The 18074-nt window shown below is 42.8% G+C and overlaps 1 protein-coding gene and 1 pseudogene across 3 annotated transcripts in view; both read right to left on the bottom strand.

The window, feature by feature from the left end:
• Positions 1 to 18074, bottom strand: part of ZYG11B (zyg-11 family member B, cell cycle regulator) — a 100884-nt gene that overhangs the window by 58382 nt on the left and 24428 nt on the right. For 2 of the 3 annotated variants that reach the window (NR_199864.1, NM_024646.3), the window contains exon 2: positions 12332 to 12497. Coding sequence is in view for 2 of the 3 variants with exons in the window: in NM_024646.3 (NP_078922.1) it covers positions 12332 to 12497 (166 nt within the window). In the remaining variant the exon portion in view is untranslated. Of the gene's footprint in view, positions 1 to 12331; positions 12498 to 14410; positions 14529 to 18074 lie in introns of all 3 variants that reach the window. The other variant, NM_001441954.1, reaches the window with a different exon arrangement.
• On the bottom strand, positions 14493 to 14633 carry RNU2-30P (RNA, U2 small nuclear 30, pseudogene; annotated as a pseudogene).

The following is an 18074-nucleotide window of genomic DNA, read 5'->3' as shown; positions in this document are numbered from 1 at the left end:
TCTTTGAGTAAGGCCTTTGAAAATGCTGGAAGAATTCAAAGATAGAGAAAGGAGGTTAGTAGGCCAGGTGCAGTGGCTCATGCCTATAATGCCAGCATTTTGGGAGGCCGAGGCGGATGGATCACCTGAGGCCAGGAATTCGAGACCAGCCTGGCCAACGTGGCAAAACCGCGTTTCTACTAAAAATGCAAAAATTAAATGGGTGTGGTGGTGCGCGCCTGTAATACCAGCTACTTGGGAGGTTGAGGCAGAGAATCACTCGAACTTGGGAGGCGGAGGCTGCAGTGAGCCGAGATGGCGCCACTGCACTCCAGCCTGGGCGTCAGAGCAAGACTCCATTTCAAAAAAAAAAAAAAAAGAGGAAGAAGGTTAGGTATATTAAAGCAAGAATATACAACATAAGCAAAGTCTTAAAGATGTGAAAGCATATCACGGGGTTAGGAAATGGCAAGTAGTTCTTTCTATATTGCTTGAACATAAGAAATAGCTAGAGCCATAGATGCAGTGCATTTCTGGGGATATAAGCATGCAAATGGGACAGAAGAAATGAGGCTGAAGGTGAGCTGGAGCTAGATCACTCTGAAAGGTGAAGAGATGAAAGCAGATCAGCTAGGGGGGACCTTGGGACCCATGGAACAACGCAGAAAAGTTCCTGGTTTTTTTCTGGTCATATATCCCAGATCTAAAGTTGAAGGAGCCAGCAGCCTGGAAACACCAATGGGCACAGACAAAAACCTCCCCCAAAATCTGCTCTCTCTAGCCAACGTACCAGGAAAGCAGCAACTAGTAAGACAGGAAACAGCTAGTAGACAGTAACTGCTCTACTTCAGCCAAACACGACAGAAAAAACTGCAGCTCCACCCATGCCAGCAAATGCCAATAGGGGCCTAGATTTCTACCCCTGCCAGGCTGTAATTACTTGCCCCAATCTGCCCACAGGGGAGGTGTTAGAGAAGTCTGAGTAGAGAGCAAGGACTTTCATTCCTGCTGGGTAGTAAGAACTATCCCCCACCACGATGTTAGTAGATACCTTCTGGGGAGCCTGAACTTCAACACTCATCAAGCAGCGATGAAGTTCTCTACCTGCTTCCCTGCTGGGGTGCTGTCATAGGAAGTCTAGTGGAAAGTCAGGACTTTCACAACTGCCCAACAGTAATGAGGCCACCTCCTCCCAACATGGTGTCAGTAGAAGCCAACTGGGAAGCAGAAATGACATACCCATACCCCTCTCATTTAGGGAAGTATCAATAGAATCCTAGTGGGGAGTCAGAATTCCAACCTCTGCATAGCCCTGCACCTTGGGTGTCAAGAGAAGCCAAGTGGGGAACCAGAAAGAACATTAACCCTAATCTGGCTGGGCATAGTGGCTCACACCTGTAATCCCAGCACTTTGGGAGGCCGAGGCGGATGGATCACAAGGTCAGGAGATCGAGACCATCTTGGCCAACATGGTGAAACCCCGTCTCTACTAAAACACAAAAAATTAGCCAGGCCTGATGGTGCCTGCCTGTAATCTCAGCTACTTGGGAGGCTGAAGCAGGGGAATCGCTTGATCCCAGGCGACGGAGGTTGCAGTGAGTTGAGATCGCACCATTGCACTCCGGCTTGGGCAACAAGAGCGAAACTCCACCTCAAATATAACATAACATAAAATAAAATAACAACATAACATAAAATAAAATAACAAAATAAAATAACATAAAATAACAACATAAAATAAAATAACAAAATAAAATAACATAAAATAACAAAATAAAATAAAATAACATAACGTAACAAAATAACATAACATAAAATAAAATAACAAAACAACATAAAATAACAAAATAAAATAAAATAACAACATAAAACATAACAAAATAATATAACATAAAATAACATAAAAAATAAAAATAACATAAAATAAAATAACATAAAATAAATAAAATAAAATAATTTTTTTTTTTTTGAGACGGAGTCTCGCTTTTCACCCAGGCTGGAGTGCAGTGGCGCGATCTGGGCTCACTGCAAGCTCTACCTCCCGGGTTCACACCATTCTCCCGCCTCAGCCTCTGGAGTAGCTGGGACTACAGGCACACGCTGCCATGCCCAGCTAATTTTTTGTATTTTTAGTAGAGACGGGGTTTCACCGTGTTAGCCAGGATGGTCTTGATCTCCTGACCTCGTGATCCGCCCGCCTCGGCCTCCCAAAGTGCTGGGATTACAGGCGTGAGCCACTGTGCCTGGCCTATAAAAATTTTTACAAAGAACATTAACCCCAATCTGGCAGTAACAAGGCAGTGCTCCTACCTTCCACTGCTGGAGTGACGTCAGTGACTCAAACTAAAACAGAAAAGTCTCATATCACCTAAAATGTCCTGGTTTCAATAAAAAATTACTCTGAATCATACTAAGAACCAGTAAGACTTCAAACTCAAAAAGAGATAATCAATATATGCCAACAGTAAGGTAACAGAAATGTTAAAATTATTTGACAACGATTTTAAAGGAGCCATAAAAAAATGCAATTAAATTTTCAAAAGTAAACAAATATGCTTGAAAAAAAATGAGTAACAGACCAGGCGCGGTGGCACTTTGGGAGGCCAAGGCAGGCAGATCATGAGGTCAGGAGTTCGCGACCAGCCTGACCAACATGACGAAACCCCATCTCTACTAAAAATACAAAAATTAGCTGGGCATGGTGGCACACGCCTGTAGTCCCAGCTACCCAGGAGGTTGAGACAGAAGAATCACTTGAACCTGGGAGACAGGGGTTGCAGTGAGCCAAGATCGCACCACTGCACTCCAGCCTGGGCGACACAGCAAGATTCTCCATCTCAAAAAAAAAAAAAAAATTTAAAAAAAATTTAATAAGGAAAAAAAGAAAAAAATGAAAACAGACTCAGCAAGGCAAGAGAAGATATAAAGAAGAATCAAATAAAAATTTTAGAAGTGAAAAATATAATAATGCTTGAGGTCAACAGTAAAATAGAGAACAGAGAAAAAAGACTGGTGAACTAGAAGATAAAACAACATAAATTACCTAATTTAAATAACAAGAACAGAATGGGAAAAAAACCAAAACCAAAAACCTAAAGCTATATTTGTGTCACTGGAATATCTCAAGGACAGGAGAAAGACAGTGTGGCTGAAAAAGTACTTAAAGAAATAATGAGCAGGCACAGTGGCTCATGCTTATAATCCCAGTACTTTGGGAGGATGAGACAAGAGGATTACCCGAGGCCAGGAGTTTGAGACCAGCCTGGGCAACATTGCAAGACTCCATCCCAACAACAAAAAATTTTAATTAGTCGGGCATGGTGGTACATACCTGTAGTCCTAGCTAGCTAGTCGGGAGGCTGAGGTCGAAGGGTCGCTTGAGCCCAGGAGTTTGAGATTATAGTAAGCTATGATTGCACTCTAGCTTGGGTGACAGAGTAAGACCCTGACTGGGAAAAAACAAAAAACAAAAAACAAAAAACTGAGTGTGGTGGCTCATTCCTGTAATTGGGAGGCTGAGGTGGGAGGACTGCTTTGAGCCCAGGGGTTCAAGACCAGCCTGCACAACATAGAAAGACATCATCTCCATTACAAATTTTTAAAAATTAGTCAGATGTTGGTGGCATGCACCTGTGATCTCAGCTACTTAGGAGGCTGAGGCAGGAGGACTGCTTGAGTCCAGGAGTTCAAGGCTGCAGTGAGCTATGATCATGCCACTACACTCCAGCCTGGGAAACAGAATCAGACCTTGTCTCAAAAAATAATTTTTTTTAATTAAAAAAAAAGATAGGCTGGATGTGGTGGCTCACGCCTATAATCCTAGCACTTTGGGAGGCCAAGGCAGGAGGACTCCTTGAGGCCAGGGGTTCAAGACCAACCTGGCCAACATAGTGCGACTCCATCTCTATTAAAAAAAAAAAAAAGATCACTCAGAAAAATTGGAAGCAGTGGTTTACATGGAGTTAAGGGAATTTTATCTGATGGCTTCAATTTTCTTCCTAAGATAAATGGTAGAAAGTCTGAGAAGAGCAAAGAACATCTGAAACTACTGTTAGGAACACTAGTTTACTGGGGAAATACTCCAGAACTCCTGGGCAGTGCCGAGGAGCCCGCCTTTATGTTACTGACTTCCCTCCTTGTCATTCAGGTCTCAGTCTAGTATCACCACTTTAGAAGCTTTCTCTGATCATCCAAGTTAAAACATCTCCCTTCCTTTATTATTCTTCTTAAGAGAACAGTGTTCTTTTTCCCTCAGAGAACCTGGCACAAGCTGTAATTCTATATGTTTACTTCCTAATTGTGTCTCCCACTGGACTATACGCTCCATGAAAGCAAGATTCATGTTGCATTCATTGTCTTATTTAAATATTCACAGTAATCCCTGTGAGGGAGTTATAATTATCAACACTTTACAGATGAGGAATCTTAGACTTGCAGAGTAACTTATCCAGGGTCAAAGAGCAAATTAATGTTGGAACCAGGACTCAGACCTAGGACCGATTTATAGAACTCATGCTCTTTTCTTATTTTAAAAAAATCTTGGCTGGGTGTGGTAAATTACACCTATAATCCCAGCACTTTGGGAGGCCAAGGCAGGTGGATCACCTGAGGTCAGGAGTTTGAGACCAGCCTGGTCAACATGGCGAAACCCTATCTCTACTAAAAATACAAAAAAAAAAAAAAAATTAGCCAGGCATGGTGGTGCATGCCTGTGATCCCAGCTACTCAGGGGGCTGAGGCAGGAGAATCACTTGAACCTGGGAGGCGGAGGTTGCAGTGAGCCGAGATAGTGCCATTGCACTCCAGTCTGGCAACAGAGCAAGACTCCATCTCAAAAATAAAATAAAATAAAATAAAATAAAGAATCAACATGCTCTAAATGATAACTCAAGGGCTTCTTTCAAGGAGTAAAATACAGATGCATAAATACAAGGATTGTGCCCCAAAGCATTTTTTCTTTCTTTCTGATTTAGGACAGACAGCTGAAGTGACCAGCAATGTGATCTACAAATAAGTGGGGTGCTAGTCTGGGAGTGTAAGCTTTCAAGCACCTAGAAAGTCTATTTGGCTAGTCAAGGAAGCAATTCGTAATGTTTCAAATTTTCAGTTTTATCCTGAACCAGAAGGCTGAACATGTCAAGATTTATAAATTTAGATTAGATTGACAGTATGACACAGAAACATTATCATTAGATGCTAAAATTCTCACTCTGATTTCTAGCTCTTATGCCCATATTTCCTGGAAAATTTTTAGCATGCAGACACAGATACAATGAGAAAAGATTATGACAAGAGAATCACAGACCCCGATAAGTAGAACTCTAACATCAGATTTATTTTAATTAAGACTGCTACTGGCTGAGTGCGGTGGTTCATAACTATAATACTAGTACTTTGGGTGGCTGAGGCAGGAGGATTGCTTGAGCCCAGCAGTTTGACACCATCCTGGACAACACAGTGAGACCCTGTCTCTACAAAAAAATTTCAAAGTAGCCAAGATCACACCACAGCACTCCAGTCTGGGTAACAAAGCGAGACCCTGCCTCTTAAAATAAAAAATAATTCTAAAAGAAACTGCTTTTATACATACTACTTAAAGCAATCTACAGATGCAATGCAATTCCTATCAAAATACCAATGACTTTTTCACAGAAATAGAAAAAATATCTTAAAATTTGTATGGAACCACAAAAGACCATGAATAGCCCAAGCAATCCTATGCAAAAGGAATAAACCTGGAGGCATCATACTACCAGACTTCAAAATATACTATAAAGCTATAGTAACCAAAACAGCAAATTACCAACATAAAAATAAACACATAGACCACACAGAAACAGAAGAGAAACCCTAGAAATTAATTCACGTATCTACGATCAACTGATTTTTGACAAAGGCACCAATGACATTGACTGGGAAAAGAACAGTCTGGTCAATAAATGGTGCTGGGAAGGCTGGATATCCACAGACAAAAGAATGAAACTAGACCCCCCCCCCCCAATCTCTCACCTTTACAAAAACCAACTCAAAATGAATCAAAGACCTAAATGTAAGACCCAAAACTATAAAACTACTAGAAGAAAATATAGCAGAGGGCCAGGTGCAGTGGCTCACACTTGTAATCCCAACACTTTGGGAGGCCGAGGTTGGCAGATCACCTGAGGTCAGGAGTTCGAGACCAACCTGACCAACATGGTGAAACCCTGTCTCTACTAAAAATACAAAAATTAGCTGGACATGGTGGCGGGCACCTGTAACTCCCAGCTACTTGGGAGGCTGAGGCAGGAGAATCGCTTGAACCTGGGAGGCGGAGGCTGCAGTGAGCTGAAACGGCGCCACTGCACTCCAGCCTGGGTGACAAGAGCAAAACTTCGTCTCAAAAAAACAAATGAAAAAAATAAAATATAGTGGAAACACTTCAGGACATTCATCTGAGAAGATTTTATGAACAAGACCTCAAAAGCACAGGCCAGGCACGGTGGCTCATGCCTGTAATTCTAGCACTTTGGGAGGCCGAGGCAAGAGGATCACTTGAGTTCAAGAGTTCAAGACCAGCCTGGGAACCATGGTAAGGCCCTGCCTCTACAAAAAATTTTAAAAACTACCTGGGCAGGGTGGTACATGCCTATAGTCTCAGCTAATTGGGAGGCTGAAGCAGGAGGATTGCTTGAGCCTGGGGGTTAAGGCTGCAGTGAGCCATGACCACACCACTGTACTCCAGCCTGCATAACAGAGTGAGACCCTGTCAAAAAAAAAAAAAAAAGCACAGGCAACAAAAACGAACATAGACAAATGGGATTATATCAAACTAAAAGCTTCTGCACACCACAGCAAAGGAAACAATCAACAGAGTGGAAAGACAACCTACAGAATGAGAGAAAATATTTGTAGATTATTCAGCTGACAGGGGATTAATATCCAGAATATATAAGAAACTCAAACAGCTCAACAGAAAACTAAACAATCCAATTTAAAAGTGGGCAAATGACCTGAATAGATATTTCTCAAAAGAAGACATACAAATGGCCAACAAATATATAAAAAAATTGCTAAACATCACTAATCATCAAGGAAATGCAAATCAAAACAAGGTATTATCTCACCTCAGGATGGCTATTAACAAAAGACAAAAAATAACAAATACTGGATGTAGAGAAGAGAACTCTTATACATTGTTGGTGGGAATGTAAACTAGTACAGACTCTATGGAAAGCAGCGTGAAGGTTCCTCAAAAAACTACAAATAGAACTACCATATCCAGCAATCCCACTACTGGACATTTATTCAAAGGAAAGGAAATCAAAATTATCAAAGAGACATCTGTACCCCGTGTTTACTGCAGCACTATTCACAATAGCAAGATGCAGAATCAATCTATGTGTCCAATAACAGATGAATGAATAAAGAACATGTGGTGTACATACATAATGGAATACTATGCAGCCAACAAACAGAATAAAATCCTGTCATTCACAGCAAAATGAATGAAACTGGAGGACATTATGTTAAGTGAAATAAGCCAGGAGCAGAAAGTTAAACACAGCATGTTCTCACTCATATGTGAAAGCTAAAAAACTGATCTCATAGAAGTAAAAGTAGAACAGGTTAGCAGAGGCTGGAGACTTGTAGAGAGAAGAGGAGGATAGGCAGAGATTGATTAAAGGATACGTAATTAAGCTAGACAGGAGGAGTCAGTTCTAGTGTCCTACACACTGTATGATGACTACAGTTAACAATAATTCATAGTTTCAAATAGCTACAAGGATGATAGTGAATATTTCCAAAACAAATATTTGAGATGATGAATATGCTAATTACTCCAATCTTATCACTATACAGTATATGTACTGAAGCATCATGACATACCCCATAGATATGTACAATTATTATATGTCAATTTAAAAATACGCCAGCACCAGGCACAGTGGTTCACACCTGTAATCCCAGCACTTTGGGAGACCAAGGCAGGTGCATCATTTGATGTCAGGAGTTCGAGACCAGCCTGGCCAACATGGTGAAACCCTGTCTCTACTAAAAATACAAAAATTAGCTGTGCATAGTGTCAGGCACCTGTAGTCCCAGCTACTTGGGAGGCTAAGCCAGGAGGATCAAATGAACCCAGGAGGCAGAGACTGCAGTGAGCTGAGACTGCACCACTGCACTCCAGCCTGAGCGACAGAGTGAGATTCCATCTCAAAAAAAAAAAAAAAAAAAAGTAGGCCAGGCATGTTGGCTCATGCCTGTAATCTCAATACTTTGGAAGCCTGAGGCAGGAGGCTAACTTGAGGCCAGGAGTTCGAGACCAGCCTGGGGAACATGGCAAGACCCTGTCTCTACAAAAAATAAAAGAAGAAAAAGAAAATTTTTTAACACACAAAAAAGACTGCTACCAATATCATTGATCCTTTGAATTGAGTAAATAAGTAAAAAAATTTTAAATGTATATGTTAAACATTTTCTAAAATCAATATGCTATTAGAAACAGTATGATATTACCAGTTTTTTGTTTTTGTTGTTGTTGTTGTTGTTGTCGTTAAGAGTCTCATTCTTGTCGCCCAGGCTGGAGTACAATGGTGCAATCTTGGCTCACTGCAACCTCCACCTCCGTGTTCAAGCAATTCTCTCTGCCTCAGCCTCCTCAGTAGCTGGGATTACAGGCGCCCGCCACCACGCCGGGCTAATTTTTGTTACTTTTAGTAAAGACAGGGTTTTGCCATGTTGGCCAGGCTGATCTCAAACTCCTGACCTCAGGCGGATCGCCTGCCTTGGCCTCCCAAAGTACTTGGATTACAGGCGTGAATCACTGCCCTTGGCTGATATTACCAATTTTAAAAGTATTCACAAGGCGGGAGCACTGGCTCACGCCTGTAATCCCAGCACTTTCGAAGGCCTAGGCGGTAGATCACTTGAGGTCAGGAGTTTAGGACCAGCCTGGCCAACATAGTGAAATCCCATCTGTACTAAAAAAAATACAAAAATTATCCAAGTGTGGTGGCACATGCCTGTAACCCCAGCTACTCCGGAGGCTGAGGCACAAGAATTGCTTAAACCTGGGAAGCAGAGGTTGTAGTGAGCCGAGATCGCGCCACTGCACTCCAGCCTGGGTGACAGTGCAAGACTCTGTCTCAAGGAAAAAATAGTAACAGCAATAAATAAAAAATAAAAGTATCAACTGAATAACTTTTTTCCCAGTATGAATATTTTCAAACACGAAGAAAAATGTATAAAGCAACTTTTACAAATTGAGACAAGAACTGGCAACATGTTTCTTTGCATATTCTCAGTAGTATCAAATCTTGACTGTTTAAAGATGGAAATGATTTGTATAAAGAGATTAAATAATTCAGAACCCTTCTTGATGAAGAAGACAGGTAATCACACTAGGGTAACACAATTAGGGACAACAAGTTATTTTTCTGACCCTCAGTTTCCTCATCTGAAGGCAGTCTGAAAAGAAGAGGTAGAAAATACATTTCAAGCATGTAGCTTCTCAAAGACATTACTCTGAGGACAAATATTTAGTTAGACTTGCTTAAAACCCACTCCTATTATCTTATCCATATAAAGCATTCGCTATAGTGCCTGACATAATAATAAGCATTTAATAAATGTTAACTACTACTATTAGCTAGCAGTAGTTACATTTCCAAAGGATAACCCAATCTGGCAAAGTTAAGGCCTTAGCATTTGTTCTTTTGATTTACAAGATGAGTTTTCTTTTTTTAATCTAATATACTGAGCACTGGCTGGGTGCAGTGGCTCATGCCTGTAATCCCAGCACTTTGGGAGGCCGAGGCAGGTGGATCACTTGAGGTCAGGAGTTCAAGATCAACCTGGCCAACATGGTGAAACCCCGTCTCTACTAAAAATACAAAAATTAGCTGGGCGTGTTGGTGGGCACCTGTAGTCCCAGCTACTCAGGAGGCTGAGGCAGGAGAATCACTTGAACCCAGGAGGTGGAGGCTGCAGTGAGCTGAGATTGCACCACTGCACTGCAGCCTGGGCAACACAGCAAGACTCCATCTCAAAATAATAATAATAATAATATACTGAGCATAATCATTAAATTGGGATTAGAAAGAAATGCTAGCACTGGCATAATCTCTTAAATCGTTGTGCAGCTGTGTAAGGGACTTTTAACTTTAACATATATAATACAGAAATTTACCCTAGTTCCTATGACAGGTTGGAAAAATTCAAAGAGACTGCTGGCATGAGAAACTTTGTGAAAAACAAGCAATGTAGAGGTCTTCTTCTTTCCTAAATTATTCCAAAATGCCTCAGTTACAGCCTCATTTCATCCTACTCTTTCTTGGAACACATTATTGGCACTTATACTTAATAGTTTTATATATATAAAGCCACAGCAAAAGTATAAACCAGTATGTGGCATCCAGGAGCAGGGATACCTTTAATATAGGTGTAGGAAGGCTGTGTGGCACAGTGGAACGAGCATATATTTAAAATTGGACAGACTTGCACATGAATTAGGACTCCACTATTTACTTGCAGTATGACCCTCAGGACGTTACTTCTCTGAACCTCAGTTTATCTATATGTTAACGGGAATGATAATAGAGCTACCTTATAGAGTTTTTGCGAAAATTCCACGAAAATACATGTAAAATCCCTGGCACATAGGCATTCAATAAATGACAGCTATTATTATTGGCAAATTTACATTCTATTCTATAGCTGTGGACAAATCATATTCCATACTTATGAGTTTATCAACTGTAAAGATATAAAGGTGTATCTTTTTTTTTTTTTTTTTTTTGAGACAGAGTCTTGCTCTGTCGCCCAGCCAGGTGTGCAGTGGCACAATCTCGACTCACTGCAACCTCCGCCTCCTGGATTCAAGCGATTCTCCTGCCTCACCCTCTGAGCAGCTGGGACTACAGGTGTGCGCCACCACGCCCGGCTAATTTTTGTATTTTTAGTAAAGACGGGGTTTCACCACGTGGGTCAGGCTGGTCTCGAACTCCTGACCTCGTGATCCGCCCACCTTGACCTCCCAAAGTGCTAGGATTACAGGTGTGAGCCACTGCGCCCGGCCAAGATATATCTCTTTCAAATTAAAACTTGAAGTAACAAAAATACTCCATACATAAGCAAAACTACACAGATAAGAGCTTCCCAGTTGATTTTCAGCACTGGTTTTTGAAAACCAAAGTACTAAATTGGCTGTGATTTCCCATCTCAAAGGTCAAAATCAGAAATTAGTTTTTCCATAACAGTAATAATCCTCCTACTGTCAAATGAAGACATAAGGCTTTTTGTTATTGTTAGTTTGTTTGTTTTGAGACAGAGTCTTGCTCTGTCGCCCAGGCTGGAGTGCAGTGGTACAACCTCGGCTCACTGCAACCTCTGTCTCCTGGGTTCAAGCGATTCTCCTGTCTCACCCTCCCGAGTAGCTGAGATTATAGGCACGTATTGCCACACTCAGCTAATTTTTGTATTTTAGTAAAGATGGGGTTTCGCCATCTTGGCCAGGCTGGTCTCGAACTCCTGACCTCAGGTGATTCACCTGCCTCGGCCTCCCAAAGTGCTGGGATTACAGGCATGAGCCACCACGCCCGGCCCGATGTAAGGTATTTTATACTGGCAAACCTCCAAATGGATACAAGTTATAGGAGTTATTTCTGACATAAGAATGACTTCTCACCTGGGCATGGTGGCTCATGCCTATGATCCCAGTGCTTTGGGAGGCCAAGGTTGGAAGATTGCTTGAGGAAAGGAGTTTGAGGCCAGCCTTGGCAACAGAGTGAGACCTTATCTCTACAAAAATAAAAATAAAAAAATTAGCCAAGCTATAGTCCCAGCTACTCAGGAAGCTGAACCAGGAGGATCACATGAGCCCAGGAGTTTTGTGCTACTGTACTCCAGCCTGGGCAACAGAACAAGGCCCTGTTTCTTAAAAAATTTAAAAAAAAAAAAAGACTTCTCAAAGTCAAAAAACGTTTGCCCCATTAGAAATGAAAAATGTTGAAATTAGCCAGATGTGGTGGCACAAGCCTGTGGTCCCAGCTACACAGGAGGCTGAGCTGGGAGGATCACCTGAGCCCAGGAGGTTGAGACTGCAGTGAGCCGTGTTTGCACCACTGCACTCCAGCCTGGGTAACAGAGTGAGACCCTGTCAAGGAAAAAAAAAAAAAAAAAAGAAAAATGTTTATTATAAATTACACAGTAAGAGGCAAGATAGGTAAAAATAAATGAATTCATAGTCCTGGAATCAGGCTCATTTGGCCTTCTCAGTTATTTCTAAGAAAATAATTAAATGGCTACTGTAGCACTTCAAAATCAAATCTAATTAACAGCACATAATTTTTGTTTCCTCTGTTTATTTTTTTACCATGAAAAGCCATGGTCCGAAGCAGTCGATCAGCCACCTCCTGTGGGAATACTCCAGGTTCCTGCAGACACAATGTTCCATCTTGTCTGGCTGAACAGAACTTCTCAAGGTGAGTAGTCAAGAAATTCAAGCAGATATCAAGTAAGGAATAGGGAGACGCCTCCTCCTTGGAGCCCAGGGAAAAATATAAAAGAAACACAAAAACCAACTAGTTAGTTTCCAGAAAAGCAGAGAACAAAACATTCATTTACTCATTTCACAAGTATTTCTTTAGTGTCTATCATATGCTAGACACTGTGTAAGGCAGTGGAATACAATCTGTGATCTATGTTCTCAAGAAGCAATAGAAGTGAAACACTGAAACAAACATTTACATACAGCCCCTTTAGTATTAAAATAGAGGACACACTGGGTATTAAGTAAGCACACAGCAGGGGGTTCTAATCAGTCAGGGATGGTGAGCGGAAGACCTCAGAGCTTAGGAAGCTTGTAACCAACTAAAGCATCACAATATGCTGTTCAGACATGAGTATGAAGCTGAGAGAGCTATTTTTTAAAAATAGGGTAGGGCCGAGGTGGGAGGATCACTTGAGGCCAGGAGTTCGAGACCAGCCTGGCCAACATGGCAAAACCCCATCTCCACTAAAAATACAAAAATTAGCTAGGCATGGTGGTGGACGCCTGTAGTTCCAGCTACTCAGGAGGCTGAGGCAGGAGAATCACTTGAATCCAAGAGGCGGAAGTTGTAGTGAGCCGAGATTATGCCACTGAACTCCAGCCTGGGTGATAGAGTGAGGCTCTGTCTCAAAAAACAAACAAAGCCGGGTGTGGTGGCTCACGCCTGTAATCCCAGCACTTTGGGAGGCCGAGGCAGGTGGATCACCTGAGGTCGGGAGTTCGAGACCAGCCTGACCAACATGGAGAAACCCTGTCTCCACTAAACACTAATACAAAATTAGCCAGGTGTGGCGGCACATGCCTGTAATCCCAGCTACTTGGGAGGCTGAGGCAGGAGAACTGCTTGAACCTGGGAGGCAGAGGTTGCAGTGAGCTGAGATTATGCCATTGCACTCTAGCCTGGGCAACAAGAGCGAAACTCCGTCTCATAAAACAAACAAAAAAGACAAGCTTATCCTAAGATTCATATGGAAATGCAACACCTAGAATAGCCAAAACGATCTTGGAAAAGAAAAACAAAGTTGAAAGACTTTGATTACTAAAGTAATCAAAACTGTATGGCACCAGCATAAGGATAGACACATAGATCAATGAACTAGAATTCAGAGTTCAGCAATAAACTCTTACATTCGTGGTCAATTGATATTGACAAGAATGCCAGGATAATTCAACGGGCTTGCTTTTTGGCCGGGTGCAGTGGCTCCCGCCTGTAATCCCAGCACTTTGGGAGGCCGAGGTGGGCGGATCATGAGGTCAGGAGATCGAGACCATCCTGGCTAACACGGTCAAATCCCATCTCTACTAAAAATACAAAAAAATTAGCCAGGCATGGTGGCGGGCGCCTGTAGTCCCAGCTACTCCGGTGGCTGAGGCAGGAGAATGGCGTGAACACAGGAGGCGGAGCTTGCAGTGAGCTGAGATCATGTCACTGCACTCCACAGCCTGGGCGACAGAGCAAGACTCCGTCTCAAAAAAAAAAAAAAAAAGAATAGGCTTTTCAACAAATGATGCTGGGACCACTGGACATCAACATACAAAAGAATAAAGACAAAGTCCTATCTCACATCATATAGAAAAATTACCACAAAATAGATCAAGGTCCTAAATAGTAGAGCTAAGATTGTTTCTCTTAGAAGAAAACATAGGTGTAAAAAGTCCGGGCTTTAGATCAGTAAAGTTTCTTAGATATGACACCAATGTATATCTATTAAACTTCAAAAAAATTAAAAACTTTTGTGCTTCAAAGATCACCATAAAGAAAGTGAAAAGGGCACGGTGGCTAATGCCTGTAATGCCAGAACTCTGAAAGGCTGAGGCAGGAATATTGCCTGAGCCCAGCAGTTTGAGACCAGTCTGAGGAACATGGTGAAACCCCATCTCTACAAAAAATACAAAAATTACCCAGGTGTGGTGGCGCATGCCTGTAACCCCAGCTACTTGGGAGGCTGAGGCAGGAGAATTGCTTGAACCCGGGAGGCGGAGGTTGCAGTCAGCTGAGATTGCGCCATTGCACTCCAGCCTGGGCGACAAGAGGGAAACTCCATCTCAAAAAATAAATAAATGTAAAATAAACTGATAAGAACAGATACTACACTTGATCTTAGCCAAAAGGCCGAGAAATAGTCAAAGGTAGGCCGGGTGCAGTGGCCTCCCAACACTTTGGGAGGCCAAGGTGGGCGGATCACCTGAGGTCAGGAGTTCAAGACCAGCCTGGCCAACATGGTGAAGCCTCGTCTCTACTAAAAATACAAAAATTAGCTGGTGTGGTTGTAGGTGTCTGTAGTCCCAGCTACTTGGGAGGCTGAGGCAGGAGAATCGCTTGAACCCAGGAGGCAGAGGTTGCAGTGAGGCAGGATGGTGCCACTGCACTCAAGCCTGGGCAATAGAGCCAGACTCCATCTCAAAAAAAAAAAGGCAAAGGGGGCCAGGCACAGTGGCTCACACCTGTAATACTTGGGAGGCCGAGGCAGACAGATCACCTAAGGTCAGGAGTTCGAGACCAGCCTGGCCAACATGGTAAAACCCTGTCTCTAGTAAAAATACAAAAAGTGACCAGGCACAGTGGCTTACGCCTGTAATCCCAGCATTTTGGGAGGCCGAGGCGGGTGGATCACCTGCGGTCGGGAGTTCAAGACCAGCCTGACCAACATGGAGAAACTCCATCTCTACTAAAAATACAAAATTAGCTGGGCGTGGTGGTGCATGCCTGTAATCCCAGCTACTTGGGAGGCTGAGGCAGGAGAATCGCTTGCACCCGGGAGGCAGAGGTTGCGATGAGCCGAGATCACACCATTGCACTCCGGCCTGGGCAACAAGAGCGAAACTCTGTCTCAAAAAAAACAAAAAAACACAAAAAATTAGCCAGGCATGTTGGCAGATGCCTGTAATCTCAGCTACTAGGGTAAGGCTGAGGCAGGAGAATTGCTTGAACCTGGGAGGTGGAGATTGCAATAAGCCAAGATCACGCCATTGCACGCCAGCCTGGGTGACAGAGCGAGACTCTGTCAAAAAAAAAAAAAAAGAACAACAACAACAACAACCAGAAGAAGAAGAACAACCATGGACAATAATTGCTGATGGGAGAAAAAATTGGAAACCTCATACATTACTGGTGGAAATAAAAATGTTGCAGCTGCCTTGGAAAACAGCTTAGCAGTTTATTACAAAATTAAACAGTTACCAATACGATCCAGCAATTCTACTCCTAAGTATATACCCAGAAATAAAAACATGTCCACACAAAATCTTGTATGTGAATGTTTACAGAAGCATTGTTCATAATAGTTAAAAAGTGGTCTGAGGTCAGGCACGGCAGCTCACACCTGTAATCCTAGAAGTTTGGGAGGCCGAGGTGGGTGGATCATGAGGTCAGGTGTTCAAGACCAGCCTAACCAACTTGGTGAAACCCCGTCTCTCCTAAAAATACAAAAATTAGCTGGGTGTGGTGGTGCACTTCTGTAATCCCAGCTATTCAGGAGGCTGAAGCAGGAGAATCACTTGAACACAGGAGGCAGAGGTTGCAGTGAGCTGAGATCATGCTGCTGCACTCCAGCCTGGGCGACATAGCGAGACTCTGTACCCCACCCCAAGAAAAAAAAAATGGTCCGAATTGTTTTTACTCACAACACTACTGACACCAAATTTCTGGGCTTTTCCCACGCCAACAACCAGTTCTGACACCAACTGGGTATCCTACAATTCAATTCGAATTCTGACACTAACTACCCAGAATTAGCATAGCACTACAGTTTAGGCCACTGTCCCCACTGCAGGTGCCAGTCACAAGTCCCAGATTTCCACTTGTACTTCTGACCAATGAACTATAAACTGTGGGATTCCAAGATCCCCTGAGGAGGGCCTCATGTTTGATAATCTGCTAATATGACTCACAGAATTCAGGAAGGCACTTCACTTGCCATTAACTTCCAGGGAGGGGAGAGGGACTCAAAGTTGTTAATAACCAATGGCCAATGATTTAATCAATCATGCATATGTAATAATGCATCCACAAAATCACCCAAAAATGGGGTTTGGAAAGTATCCAGGCTGCTGCACACATTGAAGTGCTAGGGGTGGGGTAGGGTGTGCTGGAGGAGGCATGGAAGCTTCAAGCTCCTTCCCCCATAGGTTGCCCTATGTATCTCTTCCATCTGGCTGTTCATTTGTATCCTTTAAAATATCCTTTGTATTAAAGTAAGTAAAATTTTCATGGGTTCTGTGAGCACTCTGGCAAATTATCAAACCCAGGGAGGGAGGTGTGGGAACCTCCAATTTGTAGCCAAGACTGACAGGTGTTGTGGTTAATCCAGAGACCTACTACCTGAATTGGCATCTGAGGGAGGCCATCTTGTGGAAGTGAGCCCCTCACCTGTGAGGTCTATGTTAATGCTGGTTACTGTCAGAACTGAGGTAAATTTTAGGGCACCCAATTGATGTCTGCTGAGAATAGGAGAATTGCTCCGTATAGGGAAAAAAAAAAACCACACATCTGGTCACAGAAGTGTTCTGTGTTGAGAGTACAGTAGGAGAAAACAGTTTGTTTTCTCCTACTATATGGTTTGGTATCAAAAATATTGAGAGTGGTGTGAATATAAAGGAGTATAAAGAAGGAAAAAATGTTGTTTTTCCTATCACATGCCTTGGTCCTTCTGGCAACCAGCCCAGAAAGAAGTTATCTAGGGGCTCCTGGACACCAGTCAACTCATTAGCATACAAAAACTCTTTTCACTTCAGAGCTTCCAAGGGGTTTGGGAGCTAACGTGCAAGAAACAGGGTATGAAGATCAAATTTTGGGGGGTTTTTTGTGTGTTTTTGAGACGGAGTCTTGCTCTGTCACTCAGGCTGGAGTGCAGTGGTGTAATCTTGGCTCACTGCAACCTCTGCCTCACGTCAGGTTCCAGTGATTCTCCTGCCTCAGTCTCCAGAATAGCTGGGACTACAGGCACATGCCACCACGCCCAGCTAATTTTTGTATTTTTGGTAGAGACGGGGTTTCACCATGTTGGCCAGGCTGGTCTCAAATTCCTGACCTCAAGTGATCTGCCCGCCTCGGCCTCCCAAAGTGCTGGGATTACAGGTGTGAGCCACCGCGCTGGCTATTTTTTTTTTTTTTTAACTATATCATAGTAGAAACAACCCAAATATATCCATCAAAACTGATAAATGGGTAGGGTGGGATGGGGTGGGCGTGATGGCTCACAATTGTAATCCCAGTACTTTGGGAGGATCACTTGGGCCCAGAAGTTCGAGACCAGCCTGGGCAACATGGTGAAACCCCATCTCTACAAAAAACACAAAAATTTGCTGGGTGTGGTAGCAGGTATCTGTAGTCTTAGTTACTCAGGAGCTGAAGTGGGAGGTTACAGTGAGTCGTGATGGCACCACTGCATTCCAGCCTGGGTGACAGAGCAAGACTCTATTTCAGAAACAACAAAAACCAGATGACTGGATAAACAAAATATAGTACAGCCCCACAATGGAATACTACTTAGCAAAACAGGAATGCTGATGTACTGTACAACATGAATGAGCCTTGAAAACATGCTAAGTGGAAGAAGCCAGTCAC

This window comes from Homo sapiens, chromosome 1 (assembly GCF_000001405.40).
Source record: "Homo sapiens chromosome 1, GRCh38.p14 Primary Assembly".
NCBI classification, from domain to species: domain Eukaryota; kingdom Metazoa; phylum Chordata; class Mammalia; order Primates; family Hominidae; genus Homo; species Homo sapiens.
The sequence above is the reverse complement of the archived record's forward strand: the minus strand, read 5'-3'. Positions and strand labels throughout refer to the sequence as shown.